Consider the following 25,192-nt stretch of genomic DNA (forward strand, 5'->3'; position numbering starts at 1 on the left):
AACATCCTGATTATTACAAAAGTATTGTTTTCCTTGATTTTCTTGGCTTCTGCTAAACCAGTAACCCAAATACTGAAAAAAATGAGCCTACATGTAAGGAATGAGTTGGGTAAAGGAAAACACATGCAGGTCAATTGTTTACATTATACACGTCTCTTTACCCATTTATGCCAGCAGGTCCTAACTGCCTTTTCTAAACTTATCTGATTAGTTTTCCATGAGCCAAGACTGAGACATTCCACAAATCATGATGTTTTAATCAATACAGCACAAGGATTACAGCTTTTTCTAAAGGAAAGGCTTATTAGAGGAATCTTTAAATATGTCTATTTGACTAACACTTGCTTAGCCAATTAAAACAGCAAGATTTGTCTAGTTTCCTTGTCTAAGTGAGGAGGTTGTTGGTAGTAATAAAAAATCTTCCGTTTAGAAATTTGGAAAACAAAGAATCACATTTATATGAATATAGGTAGAAATGTGTGTTCTGATGTGGATGCTTTTAAATTATCCAGTTAATTATAGAATCATCTATGTAATTTGAAATATTACGACTTCAGGAAAAATTTCAATTTAACTTGAAGTGATTTATTTCTTAGGTTGCACAGAATTATGGCATCCCAGGACCATGGGCATACCCATGGTTTTTGTTTTGATGAAAGTTTAAAAATAAACCAAGAAAGAAAACCATTTACATTTGTATTTTAAGCATAAACACACAAAACATAAAACTCAGAATGGTTCTTAGGCATACGAATTAAACACAAGTACTGATTGTATAATGACTAAGGAAGTTTCCCTCAACATTAACAACGCTGTTCTCTAGTGCAGAGGACAAAATATGCCATGGTATCAAATGTTCTTTTCTGATAAAGAAAGCAACTACAGAAAGTTTCGTTTATTTGTTGAAATTAACCAATGTGATTGATGCAAAAAAAAAAAAATCTCCTGGCAAATCTCCCAATACTACTTTGAAAACAAACATATCAAACTTGGTTTTCATTAGAATGTAGAGATTTCTTCACATTAGTAAATTAAAAAAACCAAGATCCAGATTATATATATATATATATATATATATATATATATATATATCATACATATGTAAAATGCAATGCAAACAATTGTTGAGCTTCATCTTCTCGTCAAGAATGTCAAGGCAATCGCTCTTCATAAGAAGCAATTACAATTTGATGACTCCTCATGTTTGTCTCTTTTGCCTGCAGCAAGTCTGCCTTATCTGAATATTCCCATTCCAGGAGAAATATCCATTCACCACTTCTCTCTGTGGCAATTTTTCTTTCTGGATCATGACCTCTGGCGAAGCCTCTTGGTTTGTCAGCAGCATCTCTTTTCTTTGACTTGCTATCATCAGATTCACTGTCAGATAAACATTTCCTTTTTGTATCATCTTTTTCTTTGCCAGCTTTTTGAGAGTTAAGAAATGTTTCAATTAACTCTTGACATTCTAAGTAGTCTTCTGGTTCCCAAGTACTGTCAGCATTTGTAAATCCCTTCCACTCTGGGAAATACTCCAGCTTCCTATTTGCTACTTCCACCACAAATTCTTCAGTCTCTGCCTCTTTGACTTTTCTACATTTCCCATTCTGTTACTTTCCCATTTTTTTTGCAATGTAGTTTTATTGGAGGTCATTTTTTATTGCAGGCTTGAAGAGCTATTCACTGCCTCTGAGCTGCTCCAGTTTCTGGCCCTGCACGCCTCACATACATATGTTCTTATACAGCACTGTGGAAAACATTTGAATTTCACTTGGCATGAATGTAAAACTTAGGAGTTAAGTCTCTCCGAATTATTTTCTAGACAGTCCAGGCAAAATAAACTGTTTTGTCTGATTTTAAATCAATCCTGAACTGAAACACTGGCATTAAAATTAGTAATGCCTGGCTAGGACATAATTATCAAGATATGTAGTCCAGAATTCATGATTAAGGTGTGTGTGTCTAAGTCATTATGAAAATATTGAGACAAAATTAAGTATATTCATAAATAATTGAAAACCCTTAGGCATATGTTCACTCATGTCATTCATGTTTAAATATCTTATTCCAGTTGACTAATGATAAGTAAAGGAATCCCTTATAGCAAAATATGTTGATATACCTGAACACTGATGGAGTCATCAATGTCTGTTTAATGAAAGGCTTTGAATGTACTCACTATAGTCCCTTCCAGAGGAGACTCTTCTGTGTTTAGAGAATGAAAGCTGTGCCATCAACATGTCCCTTACCTTTCAAACATGCTGGGAAACAGCAATGGTGGCTTAACATATTGAAAAGTATGAATCTATCAATGTATATGTAGAGTCACTTATTCCACTAAATCACTCTTTATCTTTATCCTCATAATGTCTTTAATTTCCTTTAAAACCTATTAAATATTATTGCATCAGAATTTACAACAATTACATATTTTAGGCATATAGTTTATTATGTGATACGCTACATATTTATACAACATTTAAAGAAATGCATGCAACCACTTCAGGTTTTACAGAAACATGATTTTATGGTGCTGAATTTAAATGTAAATACAGAACTTAATGCAGGATGCTTTAAAAATAGAATTGTAGCCTTTACTTTTAGTCCATTTATAAGCAATGTTCTTTTATAGGTATATTATTTTGGCATCACCAAAATTATGTGTTTTGGTATAAGCATAACTCATATTTATGATACACATGTTCTACCCAATATAATAGGTAATATAATTCTAAATATGATAATTTAAAATATTGGATACATAGCCTACAAATGACCAGTGAACAGTGATTGTCATTCTCTTCTAAGTTTGTATTTTTCTCTCAGTTGATGATTCAAGTATCTCATTATCACCCATCTGTTAAATTAACTTTACTTATAATTAATGTCATCTCCAATGAAAACCTCCTACACTTAAATAGAACAATGTATTAAAAACCACAAGTTTTTTTTAATAAATGAAAACTACTTCAAGTTAAAATTTGAAGCAATATGCAGAACATCATTTCCTGTTAGTAGGTTGCATACAAATTAAAAAAAAAATGAATCAGAATGGCTTGAATCCTCACCATGCTAAACAGAAGACATGAATGAGGGTGCGATAACTCTATAACCTCTGTGTTAATGCTGACTTTCAGCTCAAATTTCTGTCTGGAGAAACCCAAAATTCTGTGATGATGTTAATGTTAGGGATAGAAATCCCAAAACAAGCTGCTTAGATTATTTCAAAGTTTTACACAAGACAATGGGAATGTGACTTTCCAGATCTTGGGTTTCTTGTTTGTTGGATTTACTTTCTAGAAATGAGTTCCAGTTTAGCAGTCAAGAAAATGTGGTTATGTAACCACATGCTTTATAACTGAATATTGACTTTCCTTCCCTACCAACTACCCTGCCACCCAAGGAAAGTGATGTTAATAAGCAGAATAACAATAATAATGATTTATTTCATCAAGCACTTGTTGTGTAACAGGCATGATCCTATCTCATTTCAACCTGAGAAAACTGTGTTCGAATAAAGAAAGAACAACTGTTAGAACCACATTTACATTTAGAATTTAAATAAACTTTCTTTTGTTAGCCTGTCATAAAACATAATATCAGCCAATAGTATAGAAGAGTTTATGGTTAAAAATTTGCCTTTACCACCCTTTCCAACTCTAATATTTCTATCCCGAGGGAACATTCTAACATTCTTTCTGTTTCCGTTTTTCCTGGTGATTTCCTCCATCATTATAGATAATATTTTACCACATTTTCTTTATTTATCAACTTCAGGCAGTACTTACTGGCTGTATCTTAAAAAACTAAAAGTTTAGCTCATTTTATATCTCCTACTTTCTTGTCCACTAATTTTCTCAATGCTTGATTATTATGGTTTTATTGATATTGATTCTTAAGTAACTTTAAATATTATAATCCAATTTTTTATTGTTTTAGCCACTTTAAAAAATATTTGTTGACTCTTTGTTTGTAAATATAAGAATAATAGTGCCTCTAAAATTATTTCTCTTTTCTTCCCCCTTTCCATATGCTATTCCTATTTATTTTAATTTTACATTGTCAAGGTAATTAATATTATATTACATCCTCAATCATAACTAAGTCTTTCTTACTTTGTATCTTGACTCTGAAATTTTAGAATAGTTTTATTATCATTTTGTTAGATAAACATTGTTTATCACTGGCATGCTAGGGTTCAATTTCATTCTGTCTAACCTCACTGTCCCTCAGTAGACACAGTTCAATTTACTGTATCCCTCATCCCTCATTTCAAACTCCATACACCTGATGATTACAACCTAGATTCTGTCCTTAGTTCTCATAAACAGTTACACTCCCTTATTTCTTTAGTATCCATGCAGCAGTCTCCTGTGTATGACTTCTATAAGTTAAAAAAATCTTGTCCTGTAATAACCACTCCTTTCAATTTTCTTTCCTGTTACAGTTTTATTCCTTTTGTGTAACTTCACTTTCATTTCAGGAGCATTTCTGATCCAAATGAAAGCAATATTTTTGCACAGGCTGTCATCTTCAAATGGAATTCATGAAAATCGGTAACTCTGCTTAGCTGTCTCCATGGTTCAGGGTTCCTCTCTCTAAATAAATATGGCAGTGATGGATTTGATATCTTAATTCTTTTTCAACCATGTCTACTTGACACGGGATCTTTTCCAAGGTCGCTCTTCCAGGAAAGATCAGTGGGATCAGGCCTCAAGGAATCATGGAAATAGGTCAGGTATTACTATGAAAAGTTCCCCTGTGATGGTGAATCAATAATCCTTCCACCTACTACTTTTTACCTGCTTACCACTGGTGCATTTATCCCAAAGTAAGGGGCTGATTCTCAGTATAATCTTCACACTTAAGAACAGTGTAAACACTGTTGGGTTTTCTATTACGGTCAGTTAGCATAATACTTAACTAGTTTAGGGAGACTAAGATTAAAAAATCCATACTATTTTGATATTCAGGCATAACAGACCCATAAAGAATCTTAACTGTTACATTTTTATTGATAAAAAGACATAAAATAAGATCATTTAGTAAGTTCCCAGAAGAAAAATCCTAACTAGTATCTATGATTGCTGCTTCTCCCATAGGCAGGCATGGTGTCACCCATACAGAGTACTGGAATCTGTGGAACAGTGGTGTGTTGGGGGAAAGGAGGCAAAAGGAAGAGTAGAAACATCAGAGCAGGACAGGTGACCTCTTTTGTTTTGGGAGGTCATAAAAGGAAAAGGAAACTAAAAATAAAACAAAACAAAATTCTAAGCAGGCCGCCTTCAGGAATTTCAAGGATCCACTTTGAAAGGTGAGAATTCTGGGCTGGGCAAAGGGGAAAAGATCATGTGTCAGTATCTGGGTAGCATTACTTTGAACCAAATTCCAGTATTTCTTGATTATGGGGGTGTCCTAATAAAGATTAGAAAAATCAGAAAATGGTCTAGCACTAATAAATAAGTTTAATCACTATAGGAAAATAAATGTGGAAGAGCTCTTGCTCTTTGACCAGCATACAGGTTAAGATATTTGAACCATGAAAGTTGGGAAAGTGAAAAAAAATGTAGTAACCTGAGTCCATGTTTCTTCTGGCATTTAGATTCTGTTAAAGTGTGGGTCCTCAGCTTCAGTGCATAAGACAGCAGACTGCTTTCAAATCCTACTTGTTCATGGCAATGTATTTCCTAATATTCTGTAGTCTCATCTTCTTTCTGTTTATGGGGTGAGGCTGGGAGAGATGTAGATCTGTAATTTGCTTTGCAGCTCTTATAAAGTCTTGAAATTTAAATGAGATGATAAAATTCTTTTAATTTTATCAAAATGCCTCATACTATTATTTTATTCCAATTTTTCATTTTAAATTCACTATTACAAATTCAAAAATCAATCATTGACCATGACATGCTTTTCAGTAGGATTATGCAGATCAAATCAGATCCTCTGTTCTCATGCTCCCTGGACACTGAACAAAGGTAGATATGATTTTGCCACAAATGGTCCTCTGTCTCTGGTTGTCTATTTTCTTATTTTTTTCCCACATGCCACATTAAGTAACATCCAAAAGCATCACCAGTAAATTTACAACACTAAGGAACAGCTTGCTTGCTTAATGCTGTGAGAATCGACAAGATCTAAAAAGCTAAAGCCAGAAATCTGTGATAAACTTCAATCTGATGAACACATGAGTCAACCAAACAGCCTTCAAGAACCAGATCAATCTAAAAGTTAATAGAGAATCACTTGGGTCCAAGCCATGATTTTGTAAGATACATTATCTGGTGCTATAATCCCACTTTTTAAGCATCTCCTAAAAGCAGACTTTATGTCAGAGCAAGGTTATCTAATGTAAGGTAGCAGATGTAAGATACAATTTAAAAAAATTGTTGAATAGGAAACATACTACAGGAGAAGAGTGCAGAATGTAATAACACATTTCTTAAAAATTATAATTTAACTGTTTTCATTTAAGTGTAGCAGCATGGTTATGAAAAAAATGGGAAAATGTAGACAGAAAGAATATGACAATGTTTAAAGCCAATAAGAGGTTTTACTTATTTATTTTTTAACCCATTGACATGCCCAGAGCAAAAAACTTGCATTGTGAAATTTTGCAAAAATTTCCACTTCCAGAGGGCAACCTACATAAGGACTACTGTTTAAGAACAGCTTGAATTTTATAGGCAAGGAGTGGCAAAAACACTTTAATAAAGTTCACCCCTGCTGATCTTGCTGATAGTACCTCCTGCAATGCCTTACAACTTCTCTGTATGCCAAATGGCTGTAGTTTTAATCCACAATCATTACAATACTGAGCTTTTGAAATCCTGGAGACGCAGACTTTATAACTAAGGAATACAACATAAGAATAACAATGTTCCAGTTGGGAATCCATTTATCTCTCAGATCTCCATAGAATTATGTGTAATTGGTCAGCTTGTGAAAAGAGTCCTTGTTTCTATCAGAGTATTTTTAAACAGATTTTTTTTCTGAATTGAGCATTAACTTTTGTTTCTATAAACATTTATGGTATGTATTTAAGTTACCATGAAATTCTCAAATTTCTCCTGTTAGCAAACTGAGAAATTAAACCAGTAGAAATTCTAATTTTCCCAGTTAGGGGAAAAGTCAAAACTAGGAATAATGTGATTTGACCAAAGCAGATAGAGGGTGTACACTTCATAGTCGCGTTAATATTTCAAATTTTATCATTCATACCAGCACAGGATTTTTTCCATATATTTCACCTAATATGAATTTATTATCCATCTCAAGTGACATGTTTCCTATTTGCACAGTCTAATTATGGATCAATTAACACTATGGAGTTTAAACACATATTGTGTATTTTAATGCCCTATTAGAATTAGACAGATGTTACATTTCAATATGAGAAAAATATCATTAATTATCTAACACTTAAAATGGTTTTAAATGATGATGAATGACATGTAATTCTGTGCTCTTTGATGCCTACAAATATACATAGGGAAAGCATCTTTACTTGCTTCAATATTTACAATTATTTAGCATGTAAGACTCTTGAGTACAAAATATAATTGGTAATTTTAACTAACAAATCATAGATTCACAATTTATTGGCATTTTGGAATTGTTTCTAGCTCTTATGTTGTGTTTTCTGAGGCAATAGACAGGTTGCAGTGTTGTGGTATACTGCATGTTTTTATTTACCTAGAATTTCTCTTAGTCTAATGCTAATTTATTTTCATTCCTCATCCTGGGATCTTATACTAATCAGAGAACAAAAAACAGCCTGAACCATTCTTCCACCAGCTGCTTGAGGTGCTCTGAGCTCTCACTATAACTCTGTTTTAAGGGGTTGCAGAAGCAAATATGGACAAATTAAGAAAAAAAATACAAAAAATAATTAGATATAAAATAAACATATAAACTCAGAAATTTGCTATAAATCATGAGTGATTACATTCTGACATATGTGAGAAAGTACTACATTTCCATAGCCAATTTTCACTGTTCAAATTATCTAATCATACACATCATAAGGGGCACGTATTTCAGAAGTAGAAGAGACAATATTTAAATAACTCGTCTTGCTGAAATATCTGTAACCATAATTTTGTGTTCCTTTTTTTGTTTGTTTGTTTGTTTAAACGGAGTCTCACTCTGTCTGCCAGGCTGGAGTGCAGTGGCACGAGCTGGGCTCACTGCAGGCTCCGCCTCCCAGGCTCGCACCATTCTCCTGCCTCAGCCTCCCGCAGCGTAGCTGGCACTGCAGGGGCCCGCCACCACGTCCGGCTAATTTTTTTTTTTGTATTTTTAGTAGAGACGGAGTTTCACCGTGTTAGCCAGGATGGCCTCGATCTCCTGACCTCGTGATCCTCCCACCTTGGCCTCCCAAAGTGCTGGGATTACAGGCGTGAGCTACCGCGCCCAGCCAATCTTGTGGTTTTTTAACTTTCCCTAACGTTGTAATTTAAACTTAAGCTATTATTTGCCTATAATGGCTTTTATAAAATTAAAGGTAATTTGATATTTAACAAGAAGATATATGACAATACAAAAACATATTTTATTAACTGGAAATGGATCTATCTCGTGAACAGACGTAGCCATCTATATTCTAGAGGATTTCATTTGTGATACGAAGTTGTACTATGGAACATGGGTCTCAGCTATAAAATTTTGCTCTGTTACTGAGACTCTGAAAAAAATTCAGCAAGTCTCTGACATAGGTAAAATTATGTTTAAATTAAACAATTTTTAAAAATCAACTGTCATTAATTATTTAAAGGAAAATGTGTTTCAAGTTAGAATTAATAATCATAGGTCAGTGTAAACACTGGGATCCTTAATTAAACTGCAGGGATTCTAATTCTAGCTATAGCACTTAATAGTTACGTAACCTTGGAACAACTATTTATGTTCTGTGTGATTCATCCACAAAATGAGCATAGAAAAGTATCTACCATGTGGGGTTATTATATAATTAAACTAATTGATGTATATAAAATATTTTAAAATAGTGCTTAGTGTGTTAGTATTTACATCCTTCTTGCTGTTATTTACTTAAATTAACTATTTTCTCACATTGCTATATAAGATGAATACCCAATTCATATTCAGTGGGCTGGCTATGAATCTAACTGCAGACAACAAATGGGAAGAGTCATTATTCAGGGTGTTACATTACCTATGATTTAATACTTAGCCAGATTCAAATATTTTTGACATCACTGTGGCCCTTGTACTCATTTAGGTTTATGATGTGATGCTAGAAGAGAACATCTACCAAAATGCTTTACAGAAATAAAAAGTTTCAAATCATATTCCTCTTTTCCTGCATGCCGTCTAATTTACCTATGCCTCTCCTTGTCAGTAAACAATGACACTTTATTATATCTGATGGTAGACTTTATACTATACCTTTCTATTCTTTAATTGAGCCTTACGTGTTTTCTGTACCATAGTAACCTAAAAAATGCATGAGCTAATGAATTGTTAGCTCATTTTTGTGTCCCAGACTCAACTCACACAAGGTCCTTTTTATTTATTTATTTATTTTTGAGACAGAGTCTCACTCTGTTGCCCAGGCTGGAGTGCAGTGGCACGATCTTAGCTCACTGCAAACTCCGCCTCCCGGGTTCAGTCATTCTCCTGCTTCAGCCTCCCAAGTAGCTGGGACTAAGGTGCCCGCCACCACCCCCGGCTAATTTTTTTGTATTTTTAGTAGAGACGGGGTTTTACCGTGTTAGCCAGGATGGTCTCCATCTCCTGACCTCGTGATCCACCTGCCTCGGCCTCCCAAAGTGCTGGGATTACAGGCGTGAGCCACTGCGCCCGGCCCACAAGGTCCCTTCTACTACAGATCCTACATTATAGTATATTTACTATAATCTATTTTATTTATGTATTTTATATTTAAAACATAACATATTTTACTTTATATTTAAACATATACAATTTATTTCAAGAAATATTTCATTGTGTAAGAATTAATATTAATAATATTTATGTTATTTTTGAGGGACTATCAAAACTATTAAAAAGATTACCTTATATAAAACACTCAGGGTTGTCCAAGCACATTATCCCAGAGGAAAGTCTAAAAGAACAATTATTTTTTGATTTTTTGATTTTAGCTATCTTGCAGGAGTAAACTTTATGCCTGCAAGATAGCTATAAAAAAAAGATAAAAAAAAATAGATGTTGGCATGGATGTGGTGAAAAATGAACACTTCTACACTGCTGGTAGGAATGTAAACTAGCAAAACCACTGTGGAAAATAGTGTGGAGATCCCTTAAAGAACTAAAAGTAGAACTACCATTTGATGCAGCAATCCTACTACTGAGTAACTACCCAGAGGAAAAGACGCTATTATACAAAAGAGATACTTGTACACACGTTGATAGGAGCACAATTCGCGATTGCAAAAATACGGAACCAGCCCAAATGCCCATCAATCAATGAGTGCATAAAGAAATTGCGATATATATATAGATATATGTTTAAATATACATATGAAGGAATAGTACTCAGCCATAAAAAGGTAGGAACTAATGGTATTTGCAGCAACCTGGTTGGAACTGGAGACTACTATTCTACGTGAAGTAACTCTGAAACGGCAAAGTAAACATCACATGTTCTCATTCATAAGTAGGAGCTAAGCTATTAGGATGCAAAGGCATAAGAATGATAAAATGAACTTTGGGGTTTAGGGAGAAAGGGTGGGAGTGGGGTAGAGGATGAAAGAATACAAATTAGGTTCAGTGTATACTGTTTGGGCATTAGGTGAACCAAAATCTCACAAATCACAACTAAAGAACTTACTCATGTGACCAGATACCACCTGTTCCCCAAAAACCTATGGAAATAAAAAAGTAAAAATAAATAAATAAATTTTCTTGCAACTTTAGCAATAATCATCATAATTTTAATAAATAATTTAATTGTAGGTATATTATTGATAAAGAAAAGGGTCTGTATTCTAAAAATTATAATTTAGTAAATGGATTGAAATGAGCTTTGTTTGGCTCAAAACAACATTACATATAATCACATGAAAATTACAAGCTTTAAAGAAGTTTAGTATGCTCTCTTTGTGGCCAGCATTTCTTGGTTTGCTTTGCCTTGCTTCTCTGTTTCTGTTTAATGAGGAAGCAAGTGGCCACGTGTACTCTTGAGATCTGTTCTCCATTGGTCTGGGACCCAAAGTTGGAGAACTATTGACTTAGAGATGAGAATTTCATTAGAAGACAAGCACGTAAGGAATAAAGCAAATTAGGCCTCTCTTGAAACACAGCCTTATTTGTTCTATGAACGACAAACTCCAGTGGCATCAGAATCTCTCTCGTCTTCCTCTTTTGTTGCCTGTTTCTGGAATGCCTTTATATAGGGTAAAATGCAAACTTCTCTGAAATTCGAGGTTAATGTAGACATAAAGGTCACAAAATCTCTATGACACTAGACTTATTATTGCTTCAAAAATTAGTCAAAACTATTTTTTATGTAATAATAGAAGAAAAAAATAAGAATTTTAATTGTGGGGACATTAAAGAAAACATCTGAGACCTTGGTTTAGATTAGCAGAAGCCCACATTTCATAAGCAAAAATACTGATAATCAAACTTCATATGGAGTCTCTTGTGTGTTTGGTCCTTAATTCTTGGTATTTATCTAATACCTTCCTATATAATAGAGGGACTAAAAGCCTGAAGACTTTCATAAGTATGCAAGCAAGCCAGTCTACAGCAACAATATAAGTATACCTCAGGTCTTCTAGCATCTCAAAACTCTATAGGCAACAGTGGGAGAGGCATGAAAATTAACGAAATGAATAGAACACATTTTACCTAGGGTTTATTATAACCAGAATGCAGCAGTCCAAACTTTTTATAACCTACAGTGCTCAAGATTGAGAATAAAAATAGATGGAGACAGAAAATATTGAGTTAGCTGGTTATTTTATGAAAACTCAAATCAAGGAGGGTACTCAGTGTGAAAGCAGTCATTAACAAAATCATGTTGAGGCAGTGGGTTGGGAGGAATAACAAAACAATTCATAGATTAGTAACTGAGCATGTCCTGCTGAGTATGTGAGTTTTAATCCTGGTTTTGCCACCTGCTAGTTGGATGCCCCAGGGAAACATATTTCACACCGCTGTGCTTCATTTTTTTCATCTATATAATGGGGATGATAATAATAGTGCCTTCTTTAGGGTCATTTGAAGATCAAATTAAGATCTGTGAAGTACTAGTATATTGGGACCTTGTGGGCACCCGAGAGGTTCACTGTTATTAACAGGCAAGGAAACAAATAAGACTAGCTAATGAAAAAAAGAATTGACATGGAAAACCCAGGCAAAACTTAAGTAACAATCAACATGATCAAAGCATAGCCATTGTTTTTCTTCCATTAATAATCATCTTTAAAATAATAGATTGAGGATAATTTTTAAAAAAGTTACCTGTGGTAGAAAATAGTGAGGTTTTTGTCAATGAAGAAGTTTAGTTCAATTTTATGGTATGTACACATCAGAGTTTCTGGAATCTTTATCACATATTTCAAGGTTTCTCAAAATTTAGAATTTATAAATATACCTTTTATCTCCTGCATCCCTTGTCCTCCTGTATTTCCTTTTCATTTCTAAGTTTACTTTTTGATTTTTAACACATGTTAATCTCCAAATTATCTCAACATCTAACACTAAAAAAATTGTTTTCTGAAAATTGCCTTCCAGTTGTTTTTGGTATTTTTTAATTATTGCCTAGGTGCTAGTTTTATTTTGGACAGACATAGTTAATATACAAGGTTAACTCTAGGTTATGAGATAGCCCACTCAAAAAGTCTCAAGTAGGTGGGACCTGTTGGATTATGATTTTGGATTTTTTTTTTTTTTTTGCAGAAGTTCTATTTGCATCAACATTCATTAGTTTTCACACAGTATTCCAAATTCCCTGGAACAATTTTCGATATAATTTTTTCCTATTTTCTTTTATAATTTCACATTATGATCTGCATCATTAAAACCAAGTATAAATAAAGCAACTGTTCTGAACAAAGCAGACAAAGGAAGTGGTTGCCTAGCAACAGAAATCACAGAACAGATCCTGAACTCCTACTCAGATGGAGCCTTCATACCCCAGCTTGATGGTGAAAGCATTTCTGAGTATCTATTCTCTTACTGTGCATGTCCCTTACACTGGAAAAATAAGCTTTTGATCCTGCTATTAAATGGAATTGGAAATTAATAGGCTTCAGTAGAGTTTGTAGTATTTCTTTAACGTTCATGAATTATTATGTTGAAGATGATGAATGTTACACGCCTGATATGCTCACGCTTTTGTTTCAGAGCTGAGTGACTATGTACCTGAGAATTATTCTGAATGCTCATGGGGTGACCATATGGGCTGAGCTGGAGATTAAAATGCATCTGAATCTGTGTGTGAACAAATCCAAAGCAAGCACTGGGACATCCTAGAAACCAAGTCAGCTTGATTCTCTCATATTGGGAATGCTGTTGTATACAGCTCTGGAATTGCATATCAGGGTTTGTGAACCCATGCAAATTACAACTAATTTATATTTTAATTCATATCATAATTCCCTGTGTTTGAGCATAGGAATCTTCAAAAATTAAAAAAAATACAAATAGATTTCGTTCTCTTGCCTTGTGTGTGTTTTTAAAAATTATCTCTGAAATTAGTAGAAAGACCAGTATATTTCACAATTATTTGTTATTATTTTGAGGCTATAAGTTAAGCTTTTTATTTCTTTGTGGATGTCAGATGCACAGAATTGGGTCATTCTTCATTTATTTTCTTGTTTAATATTATCCTTCATCCTTGCAAGGCCTCCTGGATTTTAGATATTTACTTAGCAGTATATTTTTAGTATCTCCTTTCTATCTGGTTATCTTTCACAGATAAGTTAAGCCTTGTCATTGATGCCAAATCTATGAGCCAACTCATACATAGATTCTGAGAAGTCAGGTTGAAAGCCCTCCTGAGAGGAAAAACTAAACTTGATTCCAACAATAAGTACCAATGTGAGTGGAATATAATGGAAAGATGTTGTAAAAGCAGCATAAAGTGTCATTTGCAAGAGAAGAGCATGTAACACCACAGGCAAAAGAGAGAGACAATAGAACAGGAACCAGCTTTCCTGTGGGATATGAAGAAAGTACAAAGTGAAATGAGGTAAGTGGTTGAGGGTCTAGACCATGAACCCTAAACCAATCATCTCAGGAGACAGTGGATAATTGTTAGTGGGGACTGTCTATGTGGGTATAGGGGGCAAGTTGGTGGCTGAGAATAATATGTTCTGAACCTTCTAAGGCAATGTTTTGAATACATAGTAGAGAAGTAAATAATAAAAGTTCTTGCTCTCCAGAGTTCACACTAAAATAGAGGAAGATGAGCACATAAATAAATGATTCTAAATTATGGCAAGTACAAGAACAGAGATTCACATGGCATGTTTCAAAGTGAAAGGGAGTGGGGACAAACAACTATACAGAGGGGAGGTATGGTCAGACTAGGCTTTCCTTTGCGAGCTAGCATGTCCTATCTGTTCTCAAAGAGTTACACTCATCATGTAGTAAGAGATTTTCAGGCACATCTCCATGGAGATTCAATCTCCACTACACTGTGGAGTCTACAGTCATAACTTGGAGATATTGCAGGTTTGGTTGCAGATCGCTGCAATAAAGAAAATACTGCAATGAAGTGAGTTGCACATATTTTTTGGTTTCCCAGTAGTTACATAAATTATGTTTATACTACACTATAGGTAACTGTGTAATAACAGTATGTCTAAAAAACACAACATCCATACCTTCATTAAAAATACTTTACTGCTAAAGATAATGTTATCATCTGTGCCTTTAGCACATTTTTATCTTTTTCCTTGTGGAGTCTTGCCTTAACTTTGATGGCTTTTGACCAATTAGACTGGGGGTTGCTGAAGGTTGGGGTGGCTGTAGAAATGTGGCTGTGGACATTTTTAAAATAAGACCACAATGAAGCTTGCTGCATAGATGAACTCTTCCTTTCATGAAAGATTTCTCTGTAGTCTGTGATGCTGTTTCATAGCATTTTACCCACAGTAGAATTTCTTTTGAAAGTGGATTAAATCCTCTCAAACCTGGATGCTGCTTTATCAACTAAGTTTATGTAATATTTTAAATAAATATTTTCTTCTCATCTCAACAACGTTCACAGCATCTTCACCAGGACTACTTTCTTTTTTTTTTTCCTTTTATTATTATACTTTAAGTTTTAGGGTACACGTGCACATTGTGCAGGTTAGTTACCTATGTATACATGTGCCATGCTGGTGCGCTGCACCCACTAACTCGTCATCTAGCATTAGGTATATCTCCCAATGCTATCCCTCCCCCCTCCCCACACCCCACAACAGTCCCCAGAGTGTGATGTTCCCCTTCCTGTGTCCATGTGATCTCATTGTTCAATTCCCACCTATGAGTGAGAATATGCAGTATTTGGTTTTTTGTTCTTGCGATAGTTTACTGAGAATGATGATTTCCAATTTCATCCATGTCCCTACAAAGGACATGAACTCATCATTTTTTATGGCTGCATAGTATTCCATGGTGTATATGTGCCACATTTTCTTAATCCAGTCTATCATTGTTGGACATTTGAGTTGGTTCCAAGTCTTTGCTATTGTGAATAATGCCGCAATAAACACACGTGTGCATGTGTCTTTATAGCAGCATGATTTATAGTCCTTTGGGTATATACCCAGTAATGGGATGGCTGGGTCAAATGGTATTTCTAGTTCTAGATCCCTGAGGAATGGCCACACTGACTTCCACAATGGTTGAACTAGTTTACAGTCCCACCAACAGTGTAAAAGTGTTCCTATTTCTCCACATCCTCTCCAGCACCTGTTGTTTCCTGACTTTTTAATGATCGCCATTCTAACTGGTGTGAGATGGTATCTCATAGTGGTTTTGATTTGCATTTCTCTGATGGCCAGTGATGATGAGCATTTTTTCATGTGTTTTTTGGCTGCATAAATGTCTTCTTTTGAGAAGTGTCTGTTCATGTCCTTCGCCCACTTTTTGATGGGGTTGTTTTTTTCTTGTAAATTTGTTTGGGTTCATTGTAGATTCTGGATATTAGCCCTTTGTCAGATGAGTAGGTTGTGAAAATTTTCTCCCATTTTGTAGGTTGCCTGTTCACTCTGATGGTAGTTTCTTTTGCTGTGCAGAAGCTCTTTAGTTTAATTAGATCCCATTTGTCAATTTTGTCTTTTGTTGCCATTGCTTTTGGTGTTTTAGACATGAAGTCCTTGCCCATGCCTATGTCCTGAATGGTAATGCCTAGGTTTTCTTCTAGGGTTTTTATGGTTTTAGGTCTAATGTTTAAGTCTTTAATCCATCTTGAATTGATTTTTGTATAAGGTGTAAGGAAGGGATCCAATTTCAGCTTTCTATATATGGCTAGTCAGTTTTCCCAGCACCATTTATTAAATAGGGAATCCTTTCCCCATTGCTTGTTTTTCTCAGGTTTGTTAAAGATCAGATAGTTGTAGATATGTGGCGTTATTTCTGAGGGCTCTGTTCTATTCCATTGATCTATATCTCTGTTTTGGTACCAGTACCATGCTGTTTTGGTTACTGTAGCCTTGTAGTATAGTTTGAAGTCAGGTACCGTGATGTCTCCAGCTTTGTTCTTTTGGCTTAGGATTGACTTGGTGATGTGGGCTCTTTTTTGGTTCCATATGAACTTTAAAGCAGTTTTTTCCAATTCTGTGCAGAAAGGCATTGGTAGCTTGATGGGGATGGCATTGAATCTGTAAATTACCTTGGGCAGTATGGCCATCTTCACGATATTGATTCTTCCTACCCATGAGCATGGAATGTTCTTCCATTTGTTTGTGTCCTCTTTTGTTTCCTTGAGCAGTGGTTTGTAGTTCTCCTTGAAGAGGTCCTTCACATCCCTTGTAAGTTGGATTCCTAGGTATTTTATTCTCTTTGAAGCAATTGTGAATGGGAGTTCACTCATGATTTGGCTCTCTGTTTGTCTGTTGTTGGTGTATAAGAATGCTTGTGATTTTTGTACATTGATTTTGTATCCTGAGACTTTGCTGAAGTTGCTTATCAGCTTAAGGAGATTTTGGGCTGAGACAATGGGGTTTTCTAGATATACAATCATGTCATCTGCAAACAGGGACAATTTGACTTATTCTTTTCCTAATTGAATACGCTGTGTTTCTTTCTCCTGCCTGATTGCCCTGGCCAGAACTTCCAACACTATGTTGAATAGGAGTGGTGAGAGAGGGCATCCCTGTCTTGTGCCAGTTTTCAAAGGGAATGCTTCCAGTTTTTGCCCATTCAGAATGATATTGGCTGTGGGTTTGTCATAGATAGTTCTTATTATTTTGAAATACGTCCCATCAATACCTAATTTATTGAGAGTTTTTAGCATGAAGGGTTGTTGAATTTTGTCAAAGGCCTTTTCTGCATCTATTGAGATAATCATGTGGTTTTTGTCTTTGGCTCTGTTTATATGCTGGATTACATTTATTGATTTGTGTATATTGAACCAGCCTTGCATCCCAGGGATGAAGCCCACTTGATCATGTTGGATAAGCTTTTGATGTGCTGCTGGATTCGTTTTGCCAGTATTTTATTGAGGATTTTTGCATCAATGTTCATCAAGGATATTGGTCTAAAATTCTCTTTTTTGGTTGTGTCTCTGCCCGGATTTGGTATCAGAATGATGCTGGCCTCATAAAATGAGTTAGGGAGGATTCCCTCTTTTTCTATTGATTGGAATAGTCTCAGAAGGAATGGTACCAGTTCCTCCTTGTACCTCTAGTAGAATTCGGCTGTGAATCCATCTGGTCCTGGACTCTTTTTGGTTGGTAAGCTATTGATTATTGCCACAATTTCAGAGCCTGTTATTGGTCTATTCAGAGATTCAACTTCTTCCTGGTTTAGTCTTGGGAGAGTGTATGTGTCGAGGAATTTATCCATTTCTTCTAGATTTTCTAGTTTATTTGTGTAGAGGTGTTTGTAGTATTCTCTGATGGTAGTTTGTATTTCTGTGGGATCGGTGGTGATATCTGCTTTATCATTTTTTATTGCGTCTATTTGATTCTTCTCTCTTTTTTTCTTCATTAGTCTTGCTAGCGGTCTATCTATTTGTTGATCCTTTCAGAAAACCGGCTCCTGGATTCATTAAGTTTTTGAAGGGTTTTTTGTGTCTCTATTTCCTTCAGTTCTGCTCTGATTTTAGTTATTTCTTGCCTTCTGCTAGCTTTTGAATGTGTTTGCTCTTGCTTTTCTAGTTCTTTTAATTGTGATGTTAGGGTGTCAATTTTGGATCTTTCCTGCTTTCTCTTGTGGGCATTTAGTGCTATAAATTTCCCTCTACACACTGCTTCGAATGCGTCCCAGAGATTCTGGTATGTTGCGTCTTTGTTCTCGTTGGTTTCAAAGAACATCTTTATTTCTGCCTTCATTTCGTTATGTACCCAGTAGTCATTCAGGAGCAGGTTGTTCAGTTTCCATGTAGTTGAGCGGTTTTCAGCGAGTTTCTTAATCCTGAGTTCTAGTTTGATTGCACTGTGGTCTGAGAGATAGTTTGTTATAATTTTTGTTCTTTTGCATTTGCTGAGGAGAGCTTTACTTCCAAGTATGTAGTCAATTTTGGAATAGGCGTGGTGTGGTGCTGAAAAAAATGTATATTCTGTTGATTTGGGGTGGAGAGTTCTGTAGATGTTTATTAGGTCCACTCGGTGCAGAGCTGACTTCAATTCCTGGGTATCCTTGTTGACTTTCTGTCACGTTGATCTGTCTAATGTTGACAGTGGGGTGTTAAAGTCTCCCATTATTAATGTGTGGGAGTCTAATTCTCTTTGTAGGTCACTCAGGACTTGCTTTATGAATCTGGGTGCTCCTGTGTTGGGTACATATATATTTAGGATAGTTAGCTCTTCTTGTTGAATTGATCCCTTTACCATTATGTAAAGGCCTTCTTTGTCTCTTTTGATCTTTGTTGGTTTAAAGTCTGTTTTATCAGAGACTAGGATTGCAACCCCTGCCTTTTTTTGTTTTCCATTTGCTTGGTAGATCTTCCTCCATCCTTTTATTTTGAGCCTATATGTGACAGCAGGACTACTTTCAAGAAACCACTTTATTTGTTCATCCATAAGAAGCAATTCCTCATCTGTACAAATTTTATCATGAGATTGCAGCAATTCAGTCACATCTTCAGGCTCCACTTCTATTTCTCTTGCAGTTTCTATCATATCTGCAGTTACTTCGTCTACTGAAGTCTCAAACCCCTCAAAGTTATTCATGAGTGTTGGAATCAGCTTCTTCCAGTCTCCTGTATATGTTGATATTTGGACCTCCCATGAATTACATTTGTAATGACATCTATAATGGTGAATATTTTCCAGGAAGTTTTCAATTTATTTGCCCAGATCCATTGGAGAAATCACAATATATGGCAGCTATAGCCTTATAAAATGAATTTCTTTCCTTTTTTTTTTTTTCTTTAGATGGAGTTTTGCTCTTGTTGCCCAGGCTGGAGTGCAATGACACCGTCTCAGCTCCCCTCTGCCTCCCAGGTTCAAGTGATTCTCCTGTCTCAGCCTCCCAAGTAGTTGGGATTACAGGTGTCTGCCACCACATCCTGCTGGTTTTTATATTTTTAGTAGAGATAGAGTTTCACCATGTTGGCCAGGCTGGTCTTGAACTCCTGGCCTCAGGTGATCTGCTAGCCTTGGCCTCCCAAAGTGCTGGGATTATAGGCCTGAGCCACCGCACCTGGCTAAAATGTATTTCTTAAATAACAATACTCAAAAGTTGAAATTGTTCATTGATCCATGGGCTGCAGAATGGTTACGTTTGTAGGCATAAAATAAACATTAATTTCTTTGTACATTTCCATCAGAGCTCTTGAGTAATCAGATGCATTGGCAATGAGCTGTAATATTTTGAGAGGAATTTTTTTTCCTTAGCAGTAGGTCTTAATATTGGGCTTAAAATATTTATTAAATAGTGCTGTAAACAGATTTACTGTTATGCTGTAAACAGATGTGCTGTGATCCATGCTTCGTTGTTCCATTTATAGAGCACAAGGAGAGTAGATTCAGCACAATTCTTAAGGACCCTATGATTTTCAGAATGCTGAATGAGCTCCACATGGTAAATGAATTTAAAGTCCAAAAGGTGAATGAGATCCAAATAGTAAAGGAGATTAAAGTCACCAGTGGCCCCTAACAAAAGCCAGTGTCCTTTGAAACTGCAAAGCCAGGCATAGATTTCTCTTTCTAGCTATGAAAGTTTTAGATGGCATCTTTCTCCAATATAACATTGCTTTGCCTATATTGAAAATATGCTGTTTAGTGTAGCAACCTTCAATTATTTTAGCTTGATCTTCTAGATAACTTGTGGCTTCACCTTGAATTTTCATGTTATGGTGAAAGCTTCTTTCCTTAAACCTAATGAAACTAATGAATCAACATCCGTTGGCTTCAATATTTTCTTCTGCAGCCTCCTCACCCCTCTCGGCCTTCACAGAACTGAAGAGAGTTAGGTCCTTGTTTTAAATAGGTTTTGACTTAAGAGAATGTTATAGCCGATTTGATCTATCCAGACTCCTAACACAAGCCTGTTTTGCTTTTTTATAATTTTTTGTGTTCCCTGGAGTAGCAATTTTAATTTCCTTCAATAACGTTTCTTCTGCATTCACAACTTGGCTAACTGTATACTGCAATAGGCCTAACTTTCAGCCTATCTTGGCTTTTGACACGCCTTCCTCACTAAGCCTAATCTTTTCTATCTTTTGGTTTAAAGTGAGAGATGAGAGACTCTTCCTTTCATTTGAACACTTGGAGGCCATTGTAGGTTTATTAATTGGCTTAATTTCAAAATTACTATGTCTCAGAAAATAGGGAAGCTGGAGGACAGGGAGACAGATGAGGGAATAGCCAGACGGTGGAGCAATCAGAACACATACAACATTTATCAATCAAGTTAGCTGTCCTACGTGGGTGGGGTTCTTGATGCCCCAAAACAATTACTACAGGAACATTAAAGATTACTAATCACAGATGACCATAACAGGTATACTAATATCAACAAAGTCCAGGCACGTTGGCTCACACCTGTAATCCCAATACTTTGGGAGGCTGAGGCATATGGATCACTTGAGGTCAACAGTTCAAGATCAGCCTGGCCAACATGGTGAAACCCCATCACTACTAAAAATAAAAAAGTTAACTGGGTGTGGTGGCATGCACCTGTAGCCCCAGCTACTCGGTAGGCTGAAGTGGGAGAATTGCTTGAACCCAGGAAGAGAGGTTGCAGTGAGCCGAGATAGCACCACTGGACTCCAGCCTGGGAGGGAGAGTGAGACTCTGTCCCAATAATAATAATCATAATGAAAAAGTTTGAAATATTGTGAGAGTTACCAAAATGTAACACAGAGACACAAAATGAGCACATGCTATTGGAAAAATGGTGTGAATAGATTTGCTTGAAGCAGGGCTGCCACAAAATGTCAATCTGTAGAAAACACCGTATCAGTGAAAATCAACAAAGCAAAGCTCAATGAAACAAAGTCTACCTGTACTTCCCAAAGATATGACTTCCCAGATTTCCTGGAATTCTGTCAGCAACTATCAGTTTTGTACCTTTTCTCACCTGCTCAAATCAGAACTAGCTTAGAGCTTCCCCTTTCAGAGCCGTTGCTCTGAAACATAAATGTTTCATATCTCTTCTTAACATAAAACATATCTCTCTTTAACATAAATGCATATATTCTTTTCCAAAGCTGTCTTTCATTTTAGTAAAGTTGGTTCCTTGTCTAAAGATCAGGAGTAACTGCATAAAAGTAACACAGCATGTGAACAGTTTAGAGGCACTCAAATAAGTGTTCTCTTTAGTTCTGTGATTGTTTTCAGTTTCAAAATTGCTGTGAAATGAAAACATACATTTAACTAGACAGAAAACCCTACTGGAATTGGCCACAGTGCTAATTATTTATATCCCTCTCAGTTCTTTAATTTGTTGTGGTGAAATGAATGTGATCAGCATAGGGATTCGTGGTAGGTAGGTGGCTCTGCAGATAGACTGAAGCTATGTCTGTATAAGTCAAAGCCTTTACAGATTTCACTCATCCTGCTTCTACTGCCACCTTCTATGTTGCTTAGGAATTCAGAGTTTCTTTGGATTGAACATTAGGACATTTTCATATTCATAATTGTCTCTTCTTTCTGTATGGTATATAACATTAGAAGGGTTATAGGCTACCTGGGTAGGATGGAAGTTAATACTCAGTTCACTCATCCCAGAAATTATTCAGACGGCCGTGAAGCAATATTCTTCCTTGAAGGGTAGCAGAGTGAGAAGAAAGAGCCCAGGAAATTGAAGACTTAGAATTGACATTTTGGCTCCACCATTTACTTACCATATGGCTTTGTTTCATAGTTGAAAGGAAAGGAACTTAATTTTCTTTGGTGCAAAATTAGAATAATGCCTAGCTGTCAGTGTTGGTGTCAGAATTAATTAAGATAAACAGAAGGGCCCAGTATATAGATAGTCCTTAACAAATGCTGGACTCTCCCCTTTGCTTAGCTTTCCTATTTGTTATGCCCTGATATTATCAGCCTTATGTCTAGATGGGACTGGGACTTTGATGGTTTGGGCATATCTATTAATTAACGCTAATTTGTGAATTTAAGCACTGAGTGTTGTCACACCTCTGATCTAGTGAAAAACTACCTGCCGAAAGACTTGAATTCCATCATTTTACATTTTGTGTGGTCCACAGCTCTTTCCTACTGTGGTCTTAAAACTTTAAGGGCATTCTCCTAATTTCTTAGCCTTACTCACCTAGTTAGCAAGTGGAGTTACTTTGGGAATTTATAAAAATCTTCAGTTTGTTCTATGACATTTACATGTAGCTGTACTTATGATATTAAACCTCGTATTCAGAATTGTTATTTTTGTTCCACTTTTTCATATATTTGTTTATATTTATGGGGAACATTGACATTTTGATATGTGCACACAAGGTGTAGTGACCAGAATTCTTCCCCCTGCAATGCAGAGAGAGGCTATTGACACCTGAGAAGGAATATTTCACATATATTGACAAGAGTGCATAGCTAAAGGATGTGTCTACTTCTGAATTTTGACAGAGGCATTTGCTACATTGCATTTGTTCATTTGCTTATTTATTAACTTATTTATTACTGATTCAACAATTGTTTAATATATGCTGATTCTATCCATGGCCTTGTATTTGACAGGCTTTATGCTGCAAGGCATACACCATGATTTTTGCTTTCTCATAATAATGTACTTAGTAAGATGTGTTACACATTATGGTCACTCAATTCTATTGAAATGAATTCTTGGGAAAGAATTGTGTAGTACGTTTACTTTAGTATTCTCTGGTGTTCTATGATAGGATAGATAAAATGGGGAAGGTAGAAAAATTGGTAGATTTTATTAACATACAGGCAATAAATTTTTTTCTATTATATGTGCTGATCTTTTATTATCAAAAATCAGCCACATGCATCATATCATACTTATACCACATCTTTGCCAATGTAGTAATTTTTTTGCATTCCTTAACAAATAACTAAGTTCAATAATTTACCCTAAAATGCAAAAGTTAGTTTCAGAACTCAGGCTGTATTTTATTTTCAAGCTACAGTGAAGGCTAAATACTGCGTCTTACCAGATATTCATCTAGTTGAAGTATTGTTGGTAGATAAAGTTTAAATAATTAATAACAATATTTATAGCACTTTAAAATATATCATGTGACATTGTAGTGAAGATACGATTCTACTTCATTTTATAAATGATGAAATTGAAATTTTAGAAATTGAGAAAGACTTGCCCTTTTTAAACTCAGTGCTTTAAAATATATGTATCTATCTATAATAATTCCATCTCTGATTAGTTTCAATTTTTTGACATAATGTTAATTCATGTTGAGGCTATACAAAATACAGATAATATAAACAAATTCATAAAAATAAGATGGATTCTGATGACTGACATCGACATGATTTGCTCAGACATTTATTTCCTCTGCTTCGAAATGCACACACAGCCCTTCCTCTAAGGAAATATTTCTCAAAGGTTCGTCTATAGGCTACATACCTCAGAATCACTCAGGAAGTCTAACAAAATGAACATTCCTGGCTACTTCCCAAACTTCCTGAATCAAATTCCATGAAAGTGGAATTCTGGAAATTTATAGTTTTAAAAGCTCTCCTCCTCAATCTTAAGTAGATGAAAGTGTGAGAACAGCTGCTAAATGACTGTGCCCTTCCTGCAGTATAAGAATGTAATTCCATAACTGCTGATTATCCTGAGAGCTGGCCAGTCATGCAGAGCATCCAGGTGTTGAGAGTTTTGCAGCACAAATAATCCTCACAAGAACAGATGATACTTGATAGCATAGCACAGTGGAGTCATTTTAGAGAAAAAAGAAATATACAAAGCACAGAATGTGATGTTTCTCCACATTGACACTAGGAAGCTCATGCTTAAGAGAAATAATTCTCCTAGTGTGATCAGCATTATTGACACATGTAAATAAGCTGTGTGTCTGTAAGTTTGAGGTGGAAAATTCATGTTTAAAAAGCATTTTTCCTGCTTCTTCAAAGCCAGGAGGTCATCAACTGAAATTTTCCTGTGAAGATTTAGACAGTATGGTATAATACGATGCTGTCCAATACAAATATAATAAGAGACAAAAATGCAAGCCACATATAAAATTTCAAATTTTCCAGTGGCCACATTATAAAAAATAAAAAGAAGCAGGAGACAAAAATTTTAATAATTATTTTCTTTTACCTAGTACATCCAAAATATTATCATTTCAATATGCAAACAATATACAAATTATTGAGATAGTTTACATCCTTTAATTCATCTCAAGTTTTCAAAATCTCATCTCTATTTTTCACTTAAAACACTTCTTGTTTCAAACTAGTCATATATCAAGTGTGTGCAGCCACTTGTGGTTAGTGGCTGTCATATTGGGCTGTGCAGGTCTAATAGGTTTAATAGAGAAGAGTTGTGTTCACATCTTGTGCTTACCACTTAAATGTCTGGTGATGTCTAACAAGTAACATAACTTTTGAGCCACAGTTTTCTCATCTGAAAAAAATGTAAATTGGGAATAATATATAACATATAACTT

The 25,192-nt window shown here is 35.4% G+C and overlaps 1 long non-coding RNA gene and 1 pseudogene across 4 annotated transcripts in view, besides 1 other annotated feature; both read right to left on the bottom strand.

Moving 5' to 3' along the window:
- Positions 1-924: 924 nt before the first annotated feature.
- CBX3P6 (CBX3 pseudogene 6) lies at positions 925-1,698 on the bottom strand (annotated as a pseudogene).
- Positions 6,371-7,089: an enhancer, noted in NCBI's record as "OCT4-NANOG hESC enhancer chr2:155802299-155803017 (GRCh37/hg19 assembly coordinates)". NCBI's record gives its function as "activates a minimal SCP1, AML or CMV promoter by ChIP-STARR-seq in primed H9 embryonic stem cells {active_cell/tissue: H9 hESC(primed)}" and the evidence as "EXISTENCE:reporter gene assay evidence [ECO:0000049][PMID:30033119]".
- Positions 10,808-25,192, bottom strand: part of LOC105373696 (uncharacterized) — a 104,051-nt gene continuing 89,666 nt past the window's right edge. For 3 of the 4 annotated variants that reach the window (XR_001739743.1, XR_001739742.1, XR_007088684.1), the window contains 2 exons: positions 25,090-25,149; positions 10,808-10,841 (listed from right to left, as the gene is read on the bottom strand). This is a non-coding gene — a long non-coding RNA (uncharacterized LOC105373696). Of the gene's footprint in view, positions 10,842-24,894; positions 25,150-25,192 lie in introns of those variants that run through there. The other variant, XR_007088683.1, reaches the window with a different exon arrangement.

Source organism: Homo sapiens, chromosome 2 (genome assembly GCF_000001405.40).
Source record: "Homo sapiens chromosome 2, GRCh38.p14 Primary Assembly".
In the NCBI taxonomy this organism is placed as follows: Eukaryota; Metazoa; Chordata; class Mammalia; order Primates; family Hominidae; genus Homo; species Homo sapiens.